Source organism: Homo sapiens, chromosome 17, assembly GCF_000001405.40.
Source record: "Homo sapiens chromosome 17, GRCh38.p14 Primary Assembly".
NCBI classification, from domain to species: domain Eukaryota; kingdom Metazoa; phylum Chordata; class Mammalia; order Primates; family Hominidae; genus Homo; species Homo sapiens.
In genome coordinates, this window is record NC_000017.11 from 51,080,638 (window position 1) to 51,106,561 (window position 25,924).

A 25,924-nucleotide genomic window follows, 5' to 3' on the forward strand; every position below is an offset into this window, starting at 1 on the left:
TTTGCGAGGCTGAGGAGAGCAGATCACAAGGTCAGGAGTTCAAGACCAACCTGGCCAACATGCTGAAACCCTGTCTCCACTAAAAATACAAAAATTAGCTGGGCATGGTGGCACGTTCCTGTAATCCCAGCCACTTGGGAGGCTAAGGAAGGAGAGTTGCTTGAACCGGGACCCGGGAGGTGGAAGTTGCAGTGAGCCGAGATCGCACCACTGCACTCCAGCCTGGGCTACAGAGCAAGACTCTATCTCAAAAAAAAAAAAAAAAAAAAAAAAAAGCATCTTAAATTCTTAAATTTAGCATGTGAAAACTTGCTCCTCTCCTGGTCTTCTCTAGCTCATTAAATTACTGTGGTCAGTTACTCAGGACCAAAACTCTGGAGTCAGCTTTGACTCTTCTGTTTCTCTAGTACCTCACATATCCAATCCATCAGCAAATCTACCTTCAGATCTGACCGCTTTTCATCATTTCCACCACCATCCTGGTGTGTGCCACAATCATCTAATGCCTGGATTACTGCAACAGTGAAAGTCTCCTAATTAGTCTTCTTACTTCCACCCTAATCCTCTACAATATATTCTAGAGGATCTAGGAGGATTCTTTAAAAAGTCAGCCAGCCAGCCTGTCCAACATGGTGAAATTCGGTCTCTACTAAAAACACAAAAATTAGCTGGGCGTGGTGGCAGGCTCCTGTAATCCCAGTTACTGAGGAGGCTGAGGCAGGAGAATCGCTTGAACCCAGGAGACGGAGGTTACAGTAAGCTGAGATCACGCCACTAAACTCCAGCCTGGGCGACAGAACAAGACCCCCTCTCAAAAAAAAGCAGGCCAGGAGCAGTGACTCATGCCTGTAATCCCAGCACTTTGGGAGGCTGAGGCGAGCAGATCACCTGAGGTCAGGAGTTCGAGACCAGCCTGACCAACATGGAGAAACCCCGTCTCTACTAAAAATATAAAATTAGCTGGGTCTGGGGCGCATGCCTGTAATCCCAGCTATTTGGGAGGCTGAGGCAGGAGAATTGCTTGAACTCGGGAGGCAGAGGTTGCGGTGAGCTGAGATCACGCCATTGCACTCCAGCCTGAGCAACAAGAGCAAACCTCTGTCTCAAAAAAAAAAAAAGTAAAAACAATTTATCCTCTGCTTAAAACGCTCTAGTGGTTTAAATTCTTTACCATAGCCTCTAAGGATCTACACAACATGCTTCCACCATTCTCTTACTTCTTTGACATCATCCCCTACTTCTCTTCCTACCCTCTTCTCCTTCCCATTCTCTGATTCAAGCATCCATGCAGTTCCTCAAACACTTCAAGCCTCAGCACTTGCTTCCTACTACCTAGAATTCTCTTCTTCCAGATATCCAAACAGCTTGCTCTCTACTTACTTCCTTCACATCTTTGTTCAAATCTCACCTTCTTGGTGAAGGCTTCTTTGGCCAACCTATTTAAAACTGTGATACCAGGCCAGGCATGGTGGCTCACGCCTGTAATCCTAGCACTTTGGGAGGCCAAGACAGGTGGATCACTTAAGGTCAGGAGTTTGAGACCAGCCTGGCCAACATGGTGAAACCCCATCTCTACTAAATACAAAAATTAGCCAGGCATGGTGGTGCACGCCTGTAATCCCAGCTACTCGGGAGGCTGAGGCAGGAGAATTGCTTGAACCCAGGAGATGGAGGTTGCAGTCAGCCTAGATTGTGCCACTGCAGTGCATTCTGGCCTGGGCAACAGAGCAAGACTGTCTCAAAAAAAAAAAAAAAAAAAAAAAAAAACCTGTGATACCTACTCCCTATCTCTCCTCCCTGTTTATTTTCTTTAGAGTACTTAACCTCATCCAACATGCTATTTTAGTAATTAATGTTACTTATTACTTGTCTGTCCTCACTAGAATGTGGGTTCCATGAAGTCAGGGATTTTTGTTTTGTTCACTGCTGTATACCCAGTACAAAGAATGATGATAGCAGCACATAGCAGGTTCTCAAATATTTGTTAAACAAATGAATAAATGAAGAAAATTTTCCAAGTTAAAAAAACTGAAACCCTTATAGAAAAATTTATAATTCACAAAAAACTTAGGTATCACTACAATATATCCTAGTTTTAACATGAAATTGTCAGTCTATTACCTATATTAACTGTCCTCAAACTTTTCAATCACTGCAGAGGACATGGGTTTTTGTTTTTGTTTTTTTGTCTACACACATTACGTTCCTTTGGGGAACTTTCTCTCTCCAGTTTCATGCTAAGTATATTCAGTCCATGTAATTTGATTGGTGATGACCCCAACTCCCTAGGGGTGGGCACATGATTTGAACCAAACTGAGATGTCCTCTCTGGGACATCTGCCAGTTCTTAAACTCTAAAAACCTAGCAGGCCTAGGCTGCAGACTGACATCTTTTTCCAGCATAGAGAAGAGCAGGCCTGAGACTAAAGCCAATATAGAGAAAAAGAGCAAAGGGGAGAAAAACTTTAATTAAAGATACTATTTGTACCCAGGATTCCTGGAGCCAGAATTTTCCCAGTGTGTTTTGTTCTTTTCAGTTACAAAATCCAATAAATTCCTTTTTTACATAAGCTTGAGTTGGTTTTTCTTTTTTCTTTTTTTTTTTTTTCTTTTTTGAGACTGAGTTTCGCTGTGTCCCCCAGGCTGGAGTGCGCTGGTACCATCTCAGCTCACTGTAACCTCTGGCTCCCGAGTTCAAGTGATTCTCCTGCCTCAGCTTCCCGCACAGCTGGGATTACAGGTGCCTGCCACCGCACCCGGCTAATTTTTGTATATTTTTGGTAGAGACGGGGTTTCACCATGTTGGCCGGGCCAGTCTCGAACTCCTGACCTCAAGTGATCCACCCACCTCGGCCTCCCAAAGTGCTGGAATTACAAGCGTGAGCCACCACACACAGCCTCTTTATTTTATTTATTTATTTATTTATTTATTTATTTATTTATTTAAGATGTAGGTCTCACTATGTTGTCAGGCTGGTCTACAACTGCTGAACTGCTGGCCTCAGACTCCTGGGCTCAAGCAACCCTCCTGCCTCAGCCTCCAGAGTAGCTGGAACTACATGTGTGAGCCACCATGTTTAACTTTCCTGATCTTTGAAGCCTGAAAACTACAAACCCTATAACATTGGTTCTTAATCATTAGGGGGTCCAAAGACCAATTTGGAAATTTGATCCATCTATGAACCATATTTCCCCAGAAAAAACGCCCCCGCCCATGTCAAATGCCACCTATTTTTCTCAGAGGGCTTAGAGACACTGTAGTTCCTTCCACAAACCCCAAGTTTAGCACCTCTTCGCTATACTTTTCTATGAAAACATTTCATATTTGTGGGACTTCTGGGGAAATCAAGTCACTGTTTATTTTTCAGAATATTCAAGATGACCATATATAGGAAAAGTAAAGGTTACAGTAAATATAGGAAAAGAGGCAAACTAATAAATCATTCATTCATTCAAGAAACATCTACTGACTACTTACTATGTACCAGGCACAGGGAACATGACTATGAGTATCCAACTAGCCCTGCCTTCCAAGTGTTCATTGGCTAGAACTGAATGCAAGCAGATGATGTAAGGTTACGTTAAATAGAAAAGCAGAAACTATGAAGTCTGAGTAAGTTATTTCAACATTTTGCCTTGATATATAAGCAAAGACTAAGAATTAATAGGAAAATGTAATTATTTTTTGGCCTGCTTTGAAAATGATGCTCCCTTGGCTAACTTAACTACTATATCTGGGAAAGTAACCAAAAAAAAAATTTTTTTTTTGGAGATGGAGTCTTGCTCTGTCACCCAGGCTGGAGTGCAGTGGTGCCATCTCAGCTAACTGCAACCTCCATCTCCTGGCTTCAAGCAATACTCCTGCCTCCAAGCAATACTCCTGCCTCAGCCTCTGCGTAGCTGGGACTACAGGCATGGGCTACCACGCCCAGCTAATTTTTTTGTATTTTTAGTAGAGACGGGGTTTCACCATGTTGGCCAGGATGGTCTCGAACTCCTGACCTCAAGCGATCTGCCTGTCTTGGCCTCCCAAAGTGCTGGGATTACAGGTGTGAGTCACTGCACCCAGTCCAGAAATTCTTATATTAGGCACCTCTTGTGTTACGGATAAAATGCTGTTTTAAAGAACATACAGCATTATGTTTACCAAGTAACACTTAAGATGCTGTGCTATCAAACTGCTAACAAAAAATTTTACCACTATTTTGCTTTTTATTTATTTATTTTTTTTGAGATGGAGTCTGGCTCTGTTGCCCAGGCTGGAGTGCAGTGGCATGATCTTGGCTCACTGCAGCCTCCACCTCCCAGGTTCAAGCAATTCTCGTGTCTCAGCCTCCCGAGTAGCTAGGATTACAGGCATGAGCCACCATGCCTGGCTAATTTTGGTATTTTTAATAGAGATGTGGTTTCACCTTGTTGGCAAGGCTGGTCTCCAACTCCTGACCTCAGGTGAACCCAGCACTTTGGGAGGCCGAGCTGGGATTACAGGCGTAAGCCACCGCACCCAGCCCAGAAATTCTTATCTTAGGCACCTTTTGTGCTATGGATAAAATACTATTTTAAAAAACATATAGCATTATGAAGATGCTGTGCTACTAAACTGCTACCAAAAATTTTTACCACTATTTTGCTTATTTACAACTCCTTTCTGCCTAATAGGAGACACCTAATAAGGGACACACAGTTTCACATCTGCTTTGTTGCTTAGCGACCAAGTTCAGCTTCAGAAGATGGATACCACAGAATACGACAATTCCAAAAAGACCTACCTTTGTGGAATGATTCAAGCTTCAGAATTTTTCACGTTTTATTATGACTACTGAGGCTTTTTATCTATATCACTTTAAATAAATATGGCAGAGAGAAAAGAGATTTTTTTTTAAGTGATGTGACAGGTCTTGGATTGGCAAGGCTATTATCTCCAAAGAGAAATCTCGTTTCTTTAGTTTCCTTTCACAGGAAAGTACGAGCAATAATAAAAATATTTCAAAGCAAATACATACTTTGAGTCATTTCCTTCAAACAAATTAAAACAGATAAACTTAGAGATTACAAAATGGAATGTTGTCTTTCACAAACGTGTGCACATTTTCTCCTTTCTTGTTCTAAGTAGATCTTAAACTTCTTGGAATCATAAACTCTTTTGAGTATATTGTGAAAACAGATCTTATACCCAGAAAGATAAATAGGTGAAACTCAAAGCTATATACATTTATCAGTGCATCTTCAAGTTCTAAAAGAAATCAAGGAGGATTTTTCCCCATTTATAAACACTATTGAGGTTGATTTTGTAAAAATAATTTTTTATCCTCTTGGAAATCATTTTTTTTTTTTTTTTTTTTTTTTTGAGACAGAGAGTCTCACTCTGTCGCCCAGGCTGGAGTGCAGTGGTGCAATCTCAGCTCACTGCAACCTCCACCTCTTGGGTTCAAGCAGTTCTCGTGCTTCAGCCTCTGGAGTAGCTGAATCACCATAGCTGAATCAGGCATGCATCACCATACTCAGCTAATTTTTGTATTTTTGGTAGAGACAGGGTTTCAGTATGTTGGCTGGGCTGGTCTCAAACTCCTGACCTCAGGTGATCTGCCTGCGTCGGCCTCCCAAAGCGCTGGGATTACAGGTGTGAGCCACCACACCCGGCTGAAAATCCCAATTTTAAATGTGTATTAAGTCTTGGTTTGGAAACGTACAGCTGCCATCCTCATTTAAAATGCTAATCACAGCCATGTGCAGTGGCTCATTCCTGTAATCCTAGCACTTTGGGAGGCCGAGGTGGGCAGACTGCCAGAGCTTAGGAATCTGAGACCAGCCTGAGCAACATGGTGAGACCCCATCTCTACTGAAAACACGATAAAAAAAAAAAAAATTAGCCAGGCATGGTGGCATGCACCTGTAGTCATAGCTACTCGGGAGGCTGAGGCACAAGAATCGCTTGAACCCAGGAGGTGGAGGCTGTAATGAGCCGACATCCCACCACTTCACTCCTGCCTGGGCAATGGAGCAAGACTCTGTCTCCAAAAATTACAGGCTCATGCCTATAATCCCAGCACTTTGGGAGGCCAAGGTGGGTGGTCAGGAGTTCAAGACCAGCCTAGCCAAGATGGTGAAACTCAGTCTCTACTAAAAACACAAAAGTTAGCTGGGCGTGGTGGCAGGTGTGTGTAATCCCAGCTACTTGGGAGGCTGAGGTAGGAAAATTGCTTGAACCCAGGCGGCAGAAGTTGTAGTGAGCTGAGATGGTGCCACTGCACTCCAGCCTGGGTGACAGAGTGAGACTCCGTCTCAAAAAATAAATAAAATAATAAAATAAAAAATAAAATGCTAATCACTAATATGCAACAAAAATAAAAGTTCCTCAGTTCTGATAAGACATCCCTAATAGCTTACACAGGGCACTGAAAGCTGAGTAGGATAAATGTAATACTAACTTTCAAAGAATAATCAAGAATCAAGAAAAAGTAACAAGTGACTGGAAGTTTCTAAATTGCTATCCAAGAAAAATATCCATCAAATAGTCTAGTTTTGGGCCACTGTTTTGAGAAATATCCCTGACAATATAGGTAACCTCATAAACAGAAGTTGCTGTAGGGTAGAATAGCTCAGAAAGCAGAACACTCATAATTACAAAAATACTTCAGAAATGGCATAGCTCTATATAGCAATTAGCAATCATGTGAAAGTGGGAAACATTGATATAAGAATTTATGAATGAGAAAACAGGAATAGAAACAGAGACGGTGTCATGAAATTCAAACAGATGCCAAAATACAGCTCTTGGCAGAAAAAGGTTTGGATTCGTGGTCCTAGTAAGAGTCCTCTTTTTTCCTGGATGAAGGCTGGAGGTATAGCATAAGGGAAGTAATGAGAATAGTTTCTTTGTCTCTATACCTAACCTTTTCATACTATCAACAAAATACTTGGGCAATGAGTGGCATGGGTTACACTAAAAAGAAAGTTCTCAGGGCTTTCTGCTTCCCTTCTACATTCAGAGATCTTAGTTGGGCTGGTAGCACATGAGTTCTGCTGAACCTCATTACTAGGTTTGTATAGTACAAGCATGGCTGACCTTCTTTATTGTTTAATTTAATTTTTAATTTTCATTTACTTATTTTTTAGAGATGAGGTGTTGTTCTGTCATCCAGGCTGGAAGTGAAGTGGTACAATCATGGCTCACTGCAGCCTCGACTTCCTGGGCTCAAGCGATCCTCCCACCTCAGCCTTCTGAGTAGCTGGGACTACAGGCATGTGCCACTATACCCAGCTAAATTTTTTTTATTTCTTATTTTTAGTAGAGACAAGGTCTCACCATGTTGCCCAGCCTGGTCTCGAATTCCTGAGCTCAAGCGATCCTCCTGCCTCAGCCTCCCAAAGTGCTGGGATTATAGGCATGAGCGACCATGCCTGGCCCTGACCCTCTTTTTAAAGTCTTCTTGATTTACTTCAAAGAAACATGTCTGCCTTCTACTTCTATAATTTCCACTTAACACACTAACTGAGATAACAAAAATAGGAAACATCCCAGTCCGTCACTCTGTAGTCAAAGAAAAACTTGTCATAGTTAAGAGACTAGGAAAAAGCTGTTGTAATAGTTAAGCCACACACCTATTCACAATGCCTATTCTCCAAATGCTAGGCAGTTAGGCAGCATGATGATATTTACTACAAACTAGGTAATGTCATTCATAGGACTTATTCTTAGATAAAATAACATGTTAAATATAAAACTAAAACTCTTTGCCCACCCATCCAATAGGAGTACTCACTGTATGAGAGCCATCAAAGACGTATCATAAACATTTACAGTGTAACACGCTAAGTGCTATAATGAAAGCAGAGAGGAAGAAGTGACTAAATCTGCTTTAAAAAAGGGAAGTCAAGGCTGGACACAGTGGCTCACACCTGTAATCTCAGTACTTTGGGAGGCCAAGGTGGGCAGATCACGAGATCAGGAGATCGAGACCAACCTGGCTAACACGGTGAAACCTCGTCTCTACTAAAAATACAAAAAAAATTAGGCGGACTTGGTGGCGGGCGCCTGTAGTCCCAGCTACTCAGGAGGCTGAGGTAGGAGAATGGCATGAACTTGGTCGGCAGAGCTTGCAGTGAGCCGAGATCGTGCCACTGCACTCCAGCCTGGGCAACACAGTGAGACTCCGTCTCAAAAAAAAAAATGGGAGGTGGGCACAGTTGCTCACGCCTGTAATCCCAGCACTTTGGGAGGCCGAGGCAGGTGGGTCATGTGGTCAAGAGATGGAGACCACTCTGGCCAACATGGTGCAACCCCGCATCTACTAAAAATACTAAAATTAGCCAGGCGAGGTGGCACCCGCCTGTAGTCCCAGCTACTCGGAAGGCTGAGGCAGGAGAATCACTTGAACCTGGTAGGCAGGGGTTGCGGTGAGCGAGATTGCGCCACTGCACTCCAGCTTGAGCAACAGAGGGAGATTCTGTCTCAAAAACAAAACAAAACAAAACACACACACACAAAAAAAAAACAGAAGTTGGGCCAGGCACGGTGGCTCATGCCTGTAATCCTAGCACTTTGGGAGGCCGAGGCAGGTGGACCACCTGAGGTCAGGAGTTCGAGACCAGCCTAGCCAACATGGTAAAGCCCTGTCTCTACTAAAAATACAAAAATTAGCTGAGCCTGGTGGTGGGCACCTGTAATCCCAGCTACTTGGAAGGCTGAGGCAGGAGAATCACTTGAACCCAAGAGGTAGAGGTTGCACTGAGGTGAGACTGTGCCATTGCACTCCAGCCTGGGCAACAAGAGTGAAACTCTGTCTCAAAAAAACAAAAAAACAAACAAACAAAAAAGAAGTCGACAGGTGCACCGAAATCTCGGAAATCACCACTAAAGAACTTATCCATGTAACCAAAAACTACCTGTTCCCCAAAAAATATTGAAATAAAATTATATATATATAATTATAATATATATGTGTATATCTACTTATTATATGTATATATATACACTTTATTTTATATATATATATATATATATATATATATATATATATATATATACACATACACACACACACTTTCTTTTTTTTGATATGGAGTCTCGCTCTGTGACCCAGGCTGGAGTGCAGTGGCATGATCTTGGCTCCCTGCAACCTCTGCCTACCAGATTCAAGCAATTCTCCCTGCCTCAGCCTCACGAGTGGCTGGGATTACAGGCACCCACCACCATGCCCAGCTAATTTTTTGTATTTTTAGTAGAGACAAGGTTTCACCATGTTGGCCAGGCTGGTCTCGAACTCCTGACCTCAGGTGATCCACCTGCCTTAGCCTCCCAAAGTGCTGGATTACAGGCGTGAGCCACCGTGCCCGGCCATATATACTATTTTTTTAAAAAAGAGAGAAGTCATTTTAGCTTACTCTAAAAGGAATGGTTTGCCTAAAACCTTTACTGAGATAAAGACATTCCAGGCAGAGGTCACAGCACATGCAAACGTCTAAAGATCATGGCATGCCCAGGTAACTACAATTCACCATTAAATTTTGAGTCGATGTAAAGGTAAACTATAAACTAAAGAATAAGTTGAGAATCTCTCTGATTCACAAAGCGAGTAAAAAAGACAAGTAAGATTCCACTTGGCCAGGTGCGGTGGCTCAAGCCTGTAATCCCAGCATTTTTGGGAGGCCGAGGCAAGCAGATCATGAGGTCAGGAATTCAAGACCAGCCTGGCCAACATGGCAAAACCCCATCTCTACTAAAAATACAAAAATTAGCCAGGTGTGGTGGCAGATGCCTGTAATCCCAGGTACTGGGGAGGCTGAGACAGGAGAATTGCTTGAACCTGGGAGGCAGAGGTTGCAGTGAGCCGAGTCCAGCCTGGGCAACAGAGCAAGACTCCATCTCAAAAAAAAAGATTACATTCATCCATCTTTTCAAAACACAACTTGAGCCCCTATTGTTTTAAATATTCCAAGGTACTGGGAAATGTAGTAAGTTACAAGAGAGCCCTATGTTCTATTGATTGAAATTTAACAGAAGATGAAAGGTCTTAATCATGGGTAATTACATTTTATAAAAAAGATCGATTTACAAAAGATCTTGCATAATTCAACAGTCACCTAATTGAGGTTAAGGCTGATAAGAGATGGCTGATATTTCTGTTACTGCCTAGGTAATACCAACATAGGATAACAGCACAACATTGGTTTACAGCTCAGTCAGGCTTTCATATAACATGATTTCTGAAGACTTTCTGAAATGAGAAGGTAACATTTCAAACTCTGAATATGAAATGAAACTTTTAAAAATCACATAGTTCAAGTCTGCATATAATGTAACCACACTGAAATTACATATGTGAACAAGAAAAAGCACAGGCCAGGCACGGTGGCTCATGCTTGTATAATCCCAGCACTTTGGGAGGCCAAGGAGGGCTCATCACTCAAGCTCAGGAGTTCGACACCAGCCTGGGCAATATGACTCTGTCTCCACGAAACCCTGTCTCCACGAAAAATATGAAAATTAGCCTGGTGTAGTGGTGTGCATCTGTAGTCCCAGCTACTCAAAGGCTGAGGTGGGAGGGGATCACCAAGCCCAGGAGGCAGAGGTTGCAGTGAGCTGAGAGTGAGCCACTGCACTCCAGCCTGAGCGACGGATCAAGACCCTGTATACAAAAAAAAAAAAAAAAAAGGAAATGAATGCTCATAAAAAGTCTAGGATAGTCATTAATGATTTAATGTGACTTAATTGCTTGCCAGTGGCATGACTTTATAAGTTGGTCACCCTCTACTACGCTTGGCAAACCTTAGAATAACCACGATAGGGTTAGGCCAACAGCAAAATCGTGGCAGGAGAAGCGCAGCAGTTTTTTTTGTTTGTTTTTCTGTTTTTTTGTTGTTGTTGTTGTTGTTTGCATATTATAAAACCACATTAGCCCTGGAAATTCCAGAGAGTCCCCTCAGCACAAGCATTTGTCAGATCACTCAGGTATGTTGGTATGAAACGCACATACTCCTCCCCTTTTCTGTTTTTCTCACACACATACCCACTTTTTTTTAAGGACTAGGGGGATTAAGGGCCTGTGAATGAGCTTTTTCAGCAGGTATAATAACACATCTTCACTAAATACCCCTCTTCCCTTTCAATAACTAATAGGCCAGCAACAACATTAAAGTGACTTCAGACAACTCTCCTGGGAGCAACTAGACACCGTTAAAAAAAAAAAAATCAGTGGACAATACAGACTTATGTCAGGATCTAAAAAGAGTAAGCTTTGTGATGAAGCAAAATGCTTTTAAGTCCAGATGGCTTATAGGGACTGTTTCGCCCCACTGTTCTGGGGAAAAACAAATGAATACTTTGAAAAGACAAGCTCCCAAAGTTAAAAAAAAAAAAAAAAAAAATTCCCTAAAGGTTGTTGCTTGTTGGAGTAAAGATGCAGAAGAAAAAAGAAAGAAAAGAAAAAGAATAGCCATTTAAATACTTTGACTATAGTACTTGTCTAAAAAATAGTATCAAATAAAGGGCTGGCTTATTAAGTGTCCATCAAGATATTATATTAATTAGTTAAATGTAATTGTTTTTAAATGTAATTTCTTTTAAGAAATAAGACAGGATTGAAGACCATATTAAATAACACTCAAGGGATATAATCCCTTCCAAGTCCAAAATGTGGAAAATTTTTTAACACAAATGATTTGGTTTCTTCTACAATAAATGTCAAGTGGGGAAAAAAAGAAAAAAAGAACCATTATATAAAGAGGAACTTGAGACATATTGAACCAAGTATAAATGTATAGACTCTCTTGTTTAGATACTGATTGAAAACAACCAACTACAAAACTACATTTAAGAGACAATTAGGGAAATATGAACACTTATTAAGTATTAAATATTATTAAAGAGTAATTGTTTATAAGTTTTAGATGTGTTAATGGTGTTGTGGTTATATTTGTTAAACAGCCCTATCTCCTAAAGATACAATGATATAGTCTTTGGTCTGCCTTAATATTATGGTGAAAAATTGGTTTGGCCAGGCACAGTGGCTCACGCCTGTAATCTCAGTGCTTTGGGAGGCAAAGGTGGGAAGATCACTTGAGGCCGAGAGTTTGAGAACAGCCTGGGGAACATAGAGAGACCCTTGTCTCTACAAAAAAAAAAAAAAAAGAAAAAAAGAAAAAGAAAAATTTAGCTGGACGTGGTGGCAGACACCTGTAGTTCTAGCTACTCAGGAAGCTAAACTGGGAGGATTGCTTTAGCCCAGGAGTTCTAAGCTGCAGTGAGCTATGATCACACCACTGCACGCCTGCCTGGGCTACAGAGCAAGCAAATGTCTCTTAAAAAATTTTTTTTTCTAAAGAAAAAATATTGGCATTTTGTTGGTAACTGCTGAAGTTGAATGATGGGTATATGGGAGTTCAAATATATTCTACTATTCTCGGTAATCATCAATGTTTAGATATTTCTGTAAAAAAAAAAAAAAAAAAAAGTTGGCCAGGCATAGTGGCTCATGCTTGTAATCCCAGCACTTTGGGAGGCTGAGGTGGACAGATTGCTTGAGCTCAGGAGTTCGAGACAAGCCTAGGCAAAATAGCAAAACCCTCTTTTTAAAAAAAACAAAAAAATGAAAATAAATTATTGGAATAAAAGTATCAGTGGTGTTTAATATGAAAAAAGTTTGTCCTGCCATTAAAAAGCAAATATGCAGAAAGGGGCATGTACAAAGACATTCATTGAAGGGCTATTTGTAACAGTTCACAACTGGAAGATAACTTAAATGTCTATCAACAGACAGTGGATAAGAAAATTATAATAGATCTGGCCAGGCATGGTGGCTCACGCCTGTAATCCCTGCACTTTGGGAGGCTGAGGCGGGTGGATCACAAAGTCAGGAGATCGAGACCGTCCTGGCTAACATGGTGAAACCCCGTCTCTACTAAAAAAATCAGCCAGGCGTGGTGGCGGGTGCCTCTAGTCCCTGCTACTCGGGAGGCTGAGGCAGGAGAATGGCGTGAACCCAGGAGATGGAGCTCACAGTGAGCCGAGATTGCGCCACTGCACTCCAGCCTGGGCGACAGAGCAAGACTCCGTCTCAAAAAAAAAAAAAAAAAAAAAGAAAATTATAACAGATCCATACTATGGAAAGTATGTAATAGAAAACTGGTGTGGTGTGTGAGGGTGGGACTGAAAACAGGAGGGTTGAGTGGAAGTCTAAAATCACTAGTTAGTAATATCCCTAGTAGGTAGACAGTCCCACACCAGACTGGCCAGGTGGCCTTCCTTGCTCACCCACACAGGAAATAAGAGGTTTGTTTTCTCAATAAACTCAACCAGAAATTTTAGACTAGGAACACTCTAGGCACAGCCAGGCAGGTGCCAAATGACAAGTGGAATTACATGAAGGTCTAAAGTCTACGTACTAAACAGTAATAGGGCCTCCTTCCTGCCTTCATCCAGGTTGCAATAATGTAAATATCTAGGCTTACCTACCACTCCACCAGCCACACCTCAAAGAGACTATCCTTCTCTGGAAAAACTCAAGTGTCTCTACGAAAGGACCATGGGATATTGAAATCTGGGTTGCCAAGAGGCAGTAAACTGTATCCAGGCACACAAAGCTTCCAACCCTCCTTTTTTAGTGTCTCACTTTTAAAACATGAAGGATAATTAAGAATTATAAGGCACTTTAAGTTCTAGCCTGAAAGAGAGAAACCAAAACTATAAGAAATAAAAATGGGACTCTGACAAAACAGACAAAGCAGGGAACAAATGAAAACTATAATTAATATACTCAGAGACCAAAGAAAAGTCATTGCTCCCATGGAACCAGAATAGTATGCTATTTTTAAAAGTAGTGAGGAGGGAAACAAAACAGGAAAGAGCACTTGGAAATTATTAAAGTATGAATTGACGAATCCAGCACTTTTTGTCTTTCTTATATACAAACTATACCTTAGGGTAACCAAACAGTTGATGAGGGGAAGTTTCCTTTACAAGAAAATTTAGCTGATAAATGTTGAAGGAATAACTGGATTGAAATAGCACCATTTCCCAACCCCTAATGATATAATAAGGAATATCCAGTTTTCCAGGTTGTCTCATATATGTTTTTACACTCAAGATCCAAACAAGGTTCATACATTACATTTGGATAATATATCTCTTAAGTCTCTTTTAAACTCTGGATTCCCCAAGTAATGATCCTTTTCACCTAAGTGATGATCCTATAATGGAATACTATAAAACCATTAAAAATATATAGCTATGTACTTCCAGACATAGTTTGTGCCAGTTATCAGTGAATGAAACTGAATAGGCAATTCACAGAGAAGTAGAATCACCAGTAAATGTAAAACATGCTCAAGCACACTACTGATCTGACAAAAGCAAATTAAAATAAGAAGTGGTGGCCAGGCTGGGCGCGGTGGCTGACGCCTGTAATCCCAGCACTTCGGGAGGCCGAGGTGCATGGATCACGAGGTCAGGAGATCGAGACCATCCTGGCTAACACTGTGAAACCCCGTCTCTACTAAAAATACAAAAAAAATTAGCCGGGCGTGGTGGCGGGCACCTGTAGTCCCAGCTACCGGGAGGCTGAGGCAGGAGAATGGCAGGAACCCAGGAGATGGAGCTTGCAATGAGCCGAGAACTCGCCACTGCACTCCAGCCTGGGGGACAGAGTGAGACTCCATCTTTAAAAAAAAAAAAAAAAAAAAAAAAAAGTGGCAGCCAGGCACGGTGGCTCACGCCTGTAATCCCAGCACTTTGGGAGACTGAAGGGGCAGATCATGAGGTCAGGAGTTCAAGACCAGCCTGACCAACATGGTGAAACCCCGTCTCACTTGATCTTAGCCAAAGGCTGAGAAATGATGAAACCCCTTCTCTACTGAAAATACAAAAATGAGCCAGGCATGGTGGTGCGCACCTGTAGTTCCAGCTACTCGGGAGGCTGAGGCAGAAGAATCACTTGAACCTGGGAGGTGGAGGCTGCAGTGAGCCGAGATCATGCCACTGCACTCCAGCCTGGGCGACAGAGTGAGAATCCATCTCCAAAAAAAGAAAAAAATGTGTATATATATATATAGTGATATATATATAGTGATATATATAGTGATATATACATATAGTGATATATACATATAGTGATATATATATAGTGATATACATATAGTGATATATATAGTGATATACGTATAGTGATATATAGTGAGATATATATAGGGAGAGATATAGAGATATATAGTGATATATATAGTGATATATATATAGTGATGTGATATATATAGTGATATATACAGTGATATATATAGTGATATATATATAGTGATATATATAGTGATATAGTTATATATATAGTGATATATATATATAGTGATATATATATATATAGTGATATATATATAGTGATATATATATATAGTGATATATATATATAGTGATATATATATATAGTGATATATATATATATATAAAGTGGTTTCACACCTGTAATCCCAGAACTTTGGGAGGCTGAGGTGGGTGGATCATTTGAGGTTAGGAGTTCGAGACCGGCCTTGTCAACATGGTAAAACCCTGACTCTACTAAAAACACAAAAATCAGCCAGACATGGAGGAGGCATGCACTTGTAGTCCCAGCTACTTGGGAGGCTGAGGCAGCAGAATTGCTTGAACCCAGGAGGCGGAGGTTGCAGTGAGCCAAGACTGCTCCACTGCACTCCAGCCTGGGTGACAGAGTGAGACTCTGTCTCAAAAAAAAACAAAAAAAAGAAAGAAAGAAAGAAGTGGTTTCAACCACATCAGACAGGCAACAGAAACCAAAAAGTCTGATAGTGCAGGAAGTGTTGGCAAAGATACAAGAAAATAAGAAGTCTTTTATACTACTGATAGGAATATAAATCACTGCACTCCTTTGACAAGCAATGTTACCTTATCTAGTTAATTTTACAAATACATATCCTAAAACCTGGCATCCTATTTCTAAAATATATACTTTGAGAAGATCTTACATATGCACCGAATGTTACTACAACAACATTTGTAATATATAATGTGGTAATGAAGAATGGATAGTGGTATATTCATGTCATCGATGGAATACACAGCAGTTAAAAGGAAAGAATTAGATGCATATGTATATCAACATGGACAGATCAACAGGTAAAAAAAAATAAAATGCAAGATTATATAAGAATGTAACAGTGTGATATCGTGAAATACGTATTTGGTCTCTGACCCAGTTTCCTAACATATAATTCCTAAAATATAATTCCTAAAATCCTTAGAATCTCCAGAGAGATGTCTTTTTGTATGTTAATGGGTAGATTCATGGCTGGCAGCCCCTACATAGCTTAAGGATGGGAGCTGGTCATTGGAAAGACCAAAAGCATAATTAGAGGGTTAGGACTTTCAGCCCACCCCACACAACCTCCCAGGAGGGGAAAGGGGCTGAAGGTGAAGTTGATCACCAATGACCAATGGTTTCATACCTACGTAGTGACGCCTCCATAAAAACTCAAAAGAACAAGGTTGAGAGATCTTCCAGATAGCTGAACACATGGAGGTTCCTGCAGGGTGACATGTACAGGGAGGGCATGGAAGCTCTGCACCACTACCCCCATACCCTGCTTTACGCATCTTTTCATCTACATCCTTTGTAACAGTAAACATAACTGTTTCCCCAGGTTCTGCAAACCATTCAGCAAGTCAACTGAACCTGAGGAGGGGGTTGTGGGAACCCCAGTTTATAGCCAGTTGAGACTGTACTGGACACAGAGGATTCATCAAAAATAAAAGACAGTAGCTGGGCAAGGTGGCACATGACTGTAATCCCAGTGATTCGGAGGCTGAGGCAGGAAGACAGCTTGCACCCAGGAATTCAAGATCAGCCTGGGCAACACAGCAAGACCTTCATCTCATAAAGAAAAAAAATTATGGTATCTACATTATATACACACACACACATATACATATATATGTACATATATATACATGGCAGGTTGGTCAGAAGCACAGGTAAAATAACCTGAGGCTTGAGATTGGCATAAGTGTTGTCGGTAGTCTTGGGGACTGAGACCTCAAACTGTGGGATGTGACACTATCTCAAGTAGACAGTGTCAGTATTAAGTTAGATGACACCTAGCTGGTGCCTGATGCAGAACTGATTGCTTGCTGGTAGGGAAAAACACTCCCATATTTTTTTATTTGTTTGCTTTTTAAGATAGGGTCTCACTCTGTTGCCTGGGTTGGAGTGCAGGTGACACGATCCCAGCTCACTGCAACCTTGACCTTCAGGGCTCACTGCAACCTCGACCTTCAGGGCTCAAGCAATCCTCCTGCCTCAGCCTTCCAAGTAGTTGGGACTACAGGCACATGCCACCATGCTCAGCTAATTTTTGTATTTTTCTGTAGAGACAGGGTTTCATCATGTTGCTCAGGCTGGTTTCAAACTCCTGGGCTCAAGCAATCCACCTGCCTCAGCCTCCCAAAGCACTGGGATTATAGGCATGAGCCACTGCACCTGCCCTACCCCACATATTTGGTCACAGAAGTCTTCTGTGTTATGTGTGTTTTTTTTTTCAGGTCTGAGAATGTGCCAGTGTTGTAACAAGGTTCAAGGGTGGCATATCTCACACACCTGCATGAACACCCAATCACCATGCTCATGAACTACAAATACAGCGGGCTGATTGTTTTTGGTGTGAGAGCAGAAGACAGACAGTTCGTGGTTTTTTTTTTCCACTCTTAAGCAATGGTTTCTGAATTAGAGGGAAGGGTGAGACAGTTATAATCACAAACACCCTGAGTGATTTTTTTTTCCAAACACACAGGCCCTGCCTAGCAGCACTTCTTCCAACCAGTCTCACAAGCCTGTGGGGGTAAATGGGTTTTTACTTATTTATTTATTTATTTGAGACGGAGTTTCGCTCTTGTTGCCCAGGTTGGAGTGCAGTGGTGTGATCTCGGCTCACTGCAACGTCTGCCTCCAGGGTTCAACCGATTCTCCTAACTCAGCCTCCCCAGTAGCTGAGATTACAGGCATCTGCCACCACGCCAGACTAATTTTCTGTATTTTTAGTAGAGACGGGGTTTCTCTGTGTTGTCAGGCTGGTCTGAACTTCTGACCTCAGGTGATCCGCCCCCCTCGGCCTCCCAAAGTGCTGGGACTATAGGCATGAGCCACTGTGCCCAGCCGGATGGGTTTAAAGAATTGGTTACTTTGGGCCGGGCACAGTGGCTCACGCCAGTAATCCCAGCAATTTGGGAGGCCAAGGCGGGCGGATCACAAGGTCAGGAGATCAAGACCATCCTGGCCAATATGCTGAAACCCGGTCTCTACTAAAAATACAAAAATTAGCCGAGTGTGGCGGCGCTTGCCTGTGGTCCCATCTACTGGGGAGGCTGAGGCAGAAGAACTGCTTGAACCCAGGAGGCAGAGGCTGCAGTGAGCTGAGATAGTGCCACTGCACTCCAGGCTGGGTGACAGAGCGAGACTCCGTCTCAAAAAAAAAAAAAAAAAAAAGAATATGATGTACCATTACTACAGTGAAAATTGGCCAGGCGTGGTGGCTCACGCCTGTAATCCCAACACTTTGAGAGACCGAGGTGGGCAGATCACCTGAGGTCAGCAGTTTGAGACCAGCCTGACCAACGTGGAGAAACCCCGTCTCCAATAAAAATACAAAATCAGCCAGGCGTGGTGGCGCATTCCTATAATCCCAGCTACTTGGGAGGCTGAGGCAGGAGAATCGCTTGAACCCAGGAGGCGGAGGTTGCAGTGAGCCGAGATAGCGCCATTGCACTCCAGCCTGGGCAATAAGAGCAAAACTCTGTCTCAAAAAAAAAAAAAAAAAAGGAAAAAAAATACAGTGAAATAGTAGTATGTTCAAAGTAACTTGTGACGTCATCTCAGCATGCAAAAAGTTTCAGATTTTGAAGCATTTCAGATTTCACATTTTCAGACTAGGAATGCTCTACCTGTGTTATGATGTTTGCTACATCAGCCAAGTGATGCCTTACTAACTTTGTTACACAGTTATGTGCTTCTGTAGGTATATGGCCAACATCTTACATTTCTGACTTTAATTTACAGATCTTCAATCCTGACACTGTGGTTTTTGCTTCAACACTTGACTCTGTTATGAAAATATTCTTCTATTACTAAAAAAAAAAAAAAAAAAAAAAAAAAAAAACTAGAAATTGTTATCTTAAAAAAGACCCAGCCAGGCGCAGTGGCTCACGCCTGTAATCCCAGCACTTTGGGAGGCCGAGACAGGTGGATCACCTGAAGTCAGGACTTCGAGACCAGCCTGGCCAAAAAGACAAAACCTTGTCTCTACCAAAAATAAAAAAATTAGCCAGGCATTGTGGAAGGCACCTGTAACTCCAGCTACTCAGGAGCCTGAGGCAAGACAATCACTTGAACCTGGGAGGCGGGAGTTGCAATGGACCGAGATTGTGCCACTGCACTCCAGCCTGAGCAACAGAGTGAGACTCTGTCTCCAAAAAAATAAAAATAAAATAAGGGTAAATAAGCACTTTGCACTTAAATGTTTCTTCAGTAAGCCAAGATAACAAACTTTAATGCTTGAGACATTTAATTTGGCTGCTGAGAATTCTGTTTAATTCCTGGCCCTTGGCTAGGTTAAGGATGGTTAAAACTGAGCCAATTATGGACTGAATTCCTATCCCAAGATAAAAGTATTTTTTAAAGAGTTAAAACTAGGGTCAGGCACAGTGGCTCACACCTATAATCCCAGCACTTTGGGAGGCCAAGGTGGGCAGACTGCTTGAGCCCAGAAGTTTCAGACCAGCCTGGGCAACATGGTGAGATCCTGTCTCTACAAAAATTACAAAAATTAACTGGACATGGTGGTGTCTGGCTTGATGCCTATAATACTTGTGACAGTACCTACAGTACCTGCTACTTGGGAGGCTGAGGTGGAAGGATCACATGAGACTGAAGTCAAGGCTGCAGTGAGCCATAATCGTGCCACTGCACTCCAGTCTAGGACAGAGAGACCCTGCCTTCAAAAAAAAATGGCCAGGTGCAGTGGCTCACATCTGTAATCTGGTACTTTGGGACGCCAAGGCGGGAGGATCAACTGAGGTTGGGAGTTCCAGACCAGCCTGACTAACATGGAGAAACCCCCTCTCTACTAAAAATACAAAATTAGCCAGGCATGGTGGTGCATGCCTGTAATCCCAGCTACTTGGGAGGCTGAGGCAAGAGAATCGCTTGAACCTGGCGGGGCAGAGGTTGCGGTGAGCCAAGATTGCGCCATTGTACTCCAGCCTGGGCAATAAGAGCAAAACTCCGTCTAAAAAAAAAAAAGTTAAAACTAAACAAAGCCAAAAATGAGTGTGTAATTTCTGCCAAATGTGTCCAAATTACATCAAACAAGTTCAAATGGACTATTTTCACAGAGAAACCATAGGCAATCGTCTTTTTAAAAGTGACCCTTATGGGGCTGGGCATGGTGGCTCATGCCTGTAATCCTAGCATTCAGGGAGGCCAAGGCAGGTGGATCACGAGGTCAAGAGATCAAGACCATCCTGGCCAACTTGGTGAAACACCGTCTCTACTAAAAATACAAAAATTAGCTGGGCTTGGTGGCGCACACCTGTAGTCCCAGCTACTTGGGAGGCTGAGGCAGGAGAATTGCTCAAACCCAGGAGGCAGAGGTTACAGTGAGCCGAGATCGCACTACTGCACTCCAGCCTGAGTGACACTGTGAGATTCTGTCTCAAAAAAAAAAAAAAAAAAAAAAAAAATTACCTTTCTGGTTTGATGCTACACTTTGAAAAAACTGCTTAACCTTTAAAAAGGTATTTGTTTTGCCATCATCTGATGCCTGGCAAAAAATAAAAATAGAAAACAAACAAACAAAAAAGGTATTTGTTTCTGACAGGTAGCAGTAACAAAATGTGGCTAGGCTAGAACAGGTAACTGAAAGAAAATTCAAAATTGAGGAGTACATAATTAAAACTAGAAATTTGATTTATACCATAATAGTCCTTTTTTTTTTGAGGGGGACAGGGGAGGGATGGAGTTTCACTATTGTTGCCCAGGCTGGAGTGCAATGGTGCAACCTCAGCTCACTGCAATCTCCACCTCCCAGGTTCAAGCAATTCTCCTGTCTCAGCCTCCGGAGTAGCTGGGATTATAGGCACCCGCCACCATGCCTGGCTAATTTTTTGTATTTTTAGTAGAGACGGGGTTTCACCATGTTGGCCAGACTGTTCTCAAACTCCTGACCTCAGGTGATCTGCCCTCCTTGGCCTCCCAAAGTGCTGGGATTATAGGCATAAGCCACCGCGCCTGGCCTATACCATAATAGTCTAGCACAGGCTTTTAACCAACATGGATTTCCACGCCCCCAAAAATAATTGTTTATTTTTCTTTAGAACAAATGTTTTCTTCAGAAATAAATGTTGTTTTACTCACCATTTTATCTGTTACTCTAAGGTACTGCTGAATCCTGATTAGAAAGGTCTAACATGGGCCATGCACAGTGGCTCACATTTGTAATCCTAGCATTTTGGGAGGCCAAGGTGGGCGAACTGCCTGAGCTCAGGAATTTGATACCAGGCTGAGCAACATGGTGAAACCCCGTCTCTAAAATACAAAAAACATAAAATACTAAAATACAAAAAATTAGCCAGGCATGGTGGCACACGCCTGTAGTCCCAGCTACTTGGAAGGCTGAGGCACGAGAATCGCTTGAACCTAAAGGCCAGAGGTTACAGTGAGCCAAGATCATGACTCTTCACTCCAGCCTGGGTGACAGTGTGAGACTCTGTCTGCAAAAAAAAAAAAAAGAAAAGAAAAAAATAGAAATGTCTAACATAAGAGAAGAAACGAAGAGTTAAAATTAAGTTTTGGCACTTAATCTTCATTTGTATGGAAATTTTTTTTTTTTGAGGTGGAGTCTCGCTCTGTCACCCAAGGCTGCAGTGCAGTGGCATGATCTTCATTCACTGCAACCTCCACCTCCTGGGTTCAAGCGATTCTCCTGCCTCAGCCTCCCCAGTAGCTGAGATTACAGGTGTGCACCACCACACCTGGCTAATTTTTTGTATTTTTAGTAGAGATGGGGTTTTACCATGTTGGCCAGGCTGGTCTCGAACCCCTGACCTCAAATAATCTGCCCAACTCGGCCTCCCAAAGTGCTGAGATTACAGGCATGAGCCACTGCACCTGGCATTATTAATATTATCACTGTTATTTTTAGAGATGGGGTCTCGCTATGTTGCCCAGCTGGCCTTGAATCCTGGGCTCAATCTCTTGAGTAGCTGGGACTTCAGGCGTGTGTTGCTATACCCGGCTTGAATTCCTACAATACTTCTGAAAGTAATTCCAATGATCTTAACATTTAGATTTTTTAAATGCATAAATATTTACAGAATAGTAAGTATAAGGCAATGTAGGTAAAGTGTCTGAAATAAGTCTGAAATAATTATACCCAGGAGAAGTCATGGTTTTTCTGTATATGCAAAAGTGAAAGGACTTATTGAAAAACTTTTTGGAAGTTTTAGCATAACTTGGCACCAGAAGTAGGAACGATAATTTGAATGCACAAAGAGAACTTTAAATGGTTAGTCTTAGCAATTTGACCTTTAGCATATCCATCCATCCAACCAACAAATTTCTGTTAATTATCTACTGCATCCTAGTTGGTGGGAGAATAAAAGCAATAGGTTAGTTTGACACAGCGCTGAAAGTGCTACAAGAGGGCAAGAGGACTGTAAGCTGTGGAAGGATATAAAATGTGCCCAAACCACAGTCGGGTGTTAAGGCTTTCCAGAATTGAAACCTGAAAGATAAATAAAATAAGGCAACAGAAAAGAAGAGAAAGTGAGTGCCAAGCAAAGGGACAGCTTTTAGGAAGGCCTGGAGAGAGGATACTTTTTACAAACCAAATTCAAAATGTTCACTGTGGCTCAAAAAGAAACAGATGAGACTGACAAGATTGGGGCAGCCAGATCACAAGGTCTTGTATGTTAGGAACTTAAGTCATTTTCAAGAGCTTTAGAAAGAGCAACTGGCCAGGCACGGTGCCTCACATCTGTATTCTCAGCATTTTGAGAAGCTGAAGTGAGAGGACCACTTGAGCCCAGGAATTTGAGAAAAAGCCACTAAGGGCTTGTGGAATGATCTGATCAGATTTCCATTTTGGAGAGATGGGCGGTTTATAGGTTGGCCATACTGGAAGCAGAAAAATCAGTTATGGACTAGTTTCAGTTGTCCATTCATCTATTCAGAAAAATTTCCCTGGCACTTTCAACGTGCTAGCTACTGGGATATAGTGGTGAATGACAAACTTCCAGGTCTATGGAGTTTGCATTCAGGGTGAGCGATATTGGTGTCCTGTACCACAGTAGTATAAATGGATTTAGAAAGTAATGAGATTCCAGCAATATTTAAAAGTTGAAAACAAAAGAAAGCAGCAATGGGAATGAGGAAGAGTTAGGGATGGTAACCTGATTTCTGGCCAGGTAGATGGTGGTATCCTTCATGAAGATAGGGAAGAAAAGAGAACCAGGTTTGGGAAATAAGTTCAGTTTTGGACACGCTGGGAGATATTCACACCCAATAAACAATCATAAGATGAATCTGAAACTCCAGAGAGAGATCTGGCCTTAAAGTAGGCTATCAGTTCCATGAGAGAAGGACCTTGTCTGTTTTACTCACCACTGTATGCCCAATGAGCACAGTATCATGCACATAGTTGGCACTCAATGAAAGTATCTGTAAGGCCAGGCGTGGTGGCTTACACCTGTAATTCTAGCACTTTGGGAGTCCAAGGTGGACGGATCACCCAAGGTCGCGAGATCAAGACCAGTCTGACCAACATGAAGAAACACCATCTCTACTAAAACTACAAAATTAGCCAGGTGTGGTGGCGCTTGCCTGTAATCCCAGCTACTCCAGAGGCTGAGACAGGAGAATCGCTTGAACCCGGGAGGTGGAGGTGATGGCGAGGCGAGTTCACACCATTGCACTCCAGCCTGGGTAACAAGAGCAAAACGCCATCTCAAAAATAAATAAATAGGCCGGGTGCGGTGGCTCACGCCTGTAATCCCAGCACTTTGGAAGGCCGAGGCGGGCGGATCACGAGGTCAGGAGATCGAGACCATCCTGGCTAACACGGTGAAACCCCGTCTCTACTAAAAATACAAAAAATTAGCCGGGCGTGGTAGCGGGCGCCTGTAGTCCCAGCTACTCGGGAGGCTGAGGCAGGAGAATGGCGTGAACCTGGGAGGCGGAGCTTGCAGTGAGCCGAGATCGCGCCACTGCACTCCAGCCTGGGCGACAGAGCGAGACTCCGTCTCAAAAAAAAAAAAAATTAGCTGGGTGTGGTGGCAGGCGCCTGTAGTCCCAGCTACTCGGGAGGCTGAGGCAGGAGAATGGTGTGAACTGGGGAGGCAGAGCTTGCAGTGAGCCGAGATCACGCCACTGCACTCCAGCCTAGGCGACTGAGCGAGACTCTGTCTCAAAAATAAATAGATAAATAAATAAATAAATAAATAAAATCTGTTAGATGAGTAGGTTAAACATTTTGTAATAATCAACAAATGGTAAATTGAACCCCTGGGAATAGAAATTCTTAGAAAGAAAGCCCAGGAGCACAACATTCATCTGAGTAAGAAGAATCCACAGAATGGTCACGTAGGTAAGAGGAAAGCCAAGGAATTTCAAAGTCAAACAAACTAAATGTAATGTTTCTCAAAGGAAGAAGTAGCCAAAAAACACTGCTGAGACATCAAGTATGAGAAGGAATAAGATAGAAAACAAGACAGGCATTTATGAGAGCTAACTTTTCTGAATGTTCAAGAATAATGAGTAGGAGACACTCTGAATATGTATCTAAAGTTTCAGATCTAAATAATTATCTTATGAGATGAAATGAATTATTTGCTGAAAGAGCAGCTTAACCTTTTCTTCTTCCCTTTTCTTCCCCAGTAGCTTGAAAAAACACTTAAAGCTTGGCCGGGCGCAGTGGCTCAAGCCTGTAATCCCAGCACTTTGGGAGGCGAGGTGGGCAGATCACGAGGTCAGGAGATCGAGGCCATCCTGGCTAACACAGTGAAACCTCGTCTCTACTAAAAATACAAAAAAATTAGCTGGGCATGGTGGCGGGCGCCTGTAGTCCCAGCTACTCAGGAGGCTGAGGCAGGAGAATGGCGTGAACCCGGGAGATGGAGCTTGCAGTGAGCCGAGATTGCGCCACTGCACTCCAGCCTGGGCGACAGAGCAGGCTGTCTCAAAAAAAAAGAGAAAAAGAAAAAACACTTAAAGCTTAACCTTTATTAACTTGTTTGTTCCATCTAAAGTGCCTACCTCTTCACTGCTGCTTGCTTGGTTAAAAAAAATAAAATTATGGCCAGGCGCAGTGGTTCATGTCTGTAATACCAGCACTTTGGGAAGCAGAGGCAGGAGGATCACTTGAGGCCAGGAGTTCAAGTGCCCATCCTGGGCAACACAGCAAGACCCCCATCTCTACACACACACACACACACACACACACACACACACACACACACACACACACACTAGCTGGGCATGATGGCATACACCTGTAGTCCTAGCTACTCAGGAGGTTGAGGCAAAAGAATCACTTGAACCCAGGAATTCGAGGCTGCAGTGAGCTATGATCACTCCACTGCACACCAGCCTGGGTGACAGAGCAAGACCGTGTCTCAAAATAAATAGATAAAATAAAATTTAAAAAAATTTTTAAGTAAAATAAAGTACCTGCCACTCTAGTCTTTATCCCATCACATCTATCACAATCTGTAATTAACTGGTTTGCTTATTGTTTATTGCAATGTAAACTCCAAGACAAGATAGGCTACCTTCCTTGTCTGTTTCATTAGTGGCTACATCCCCAGGGCTTAGAACAGTGCCTTGTTCTGCCAGGCGCGGTGGCTCATGCCTGTAATCCCAGCACTTTGGGAGGC

The 25,924-nt window shown here is 42.4% G+C and overlaps 1 protein-coding gene and 1 non-coding gene across 6 annotated transcripts in view, besides 2 other annotated features; both read right to left on the bottom strand.

The window, feature by feature from the left end:
• The window catches only part of SPAG9 (sperm associated antigen 9), a 158,695-nt gene that overhangs the window by 118,464 nt on the left and 14,307 nt on the right, over positions 1-25,924 (bottom strand). The gene's annotated exons all lie outside the window — the stretch shown is intronic.
• Positions 13,211-13,505: a silencer, noted in NCBI's record as "tiled region #10137; HepG2 Repressive DNase matched - State 5:Enh, and K562 Repressive non-DNase unmatched - State 23:Low". NCBI's record gives its function as "represses a minimal TATA promoter and a strong SV40 promoter by Sharpr-MPRA in HepG2 and K562 cells {active_cell/tissue: HepG2 | K562}" and the evidence as "EXISTENCE:reporter gene assay evidence [ECO:0000049][PMID:27701403]".
• On the bottom strand, positions 17,537-17,641 carry LOC124904125 (small nucleolar RNA U13). Its single transcript, XR_007066003.1, has one exon. It is a non-coding gene; the product is annotated as a small nucleolar RNA U13 (small nucleolar RNA).
• Positions 17,962-18,462: an enhancer, noted in NCBI's record as "H3K4me1 hESC enhancer chr17:49175960-49176460 (GRCh37/hg19 assembly coordinates)". NCBI's record gives its function as "activates a minimal SCP1, AML or CMV promoter by ChIP-STARR-seq in primed H9 embryonic stem cells {active_cell/tissue: H9 hESC(primed)}" and the evidence as "EXISTENCE:reporter gene assay evidence [ECO:0000049][PMID:30033119]".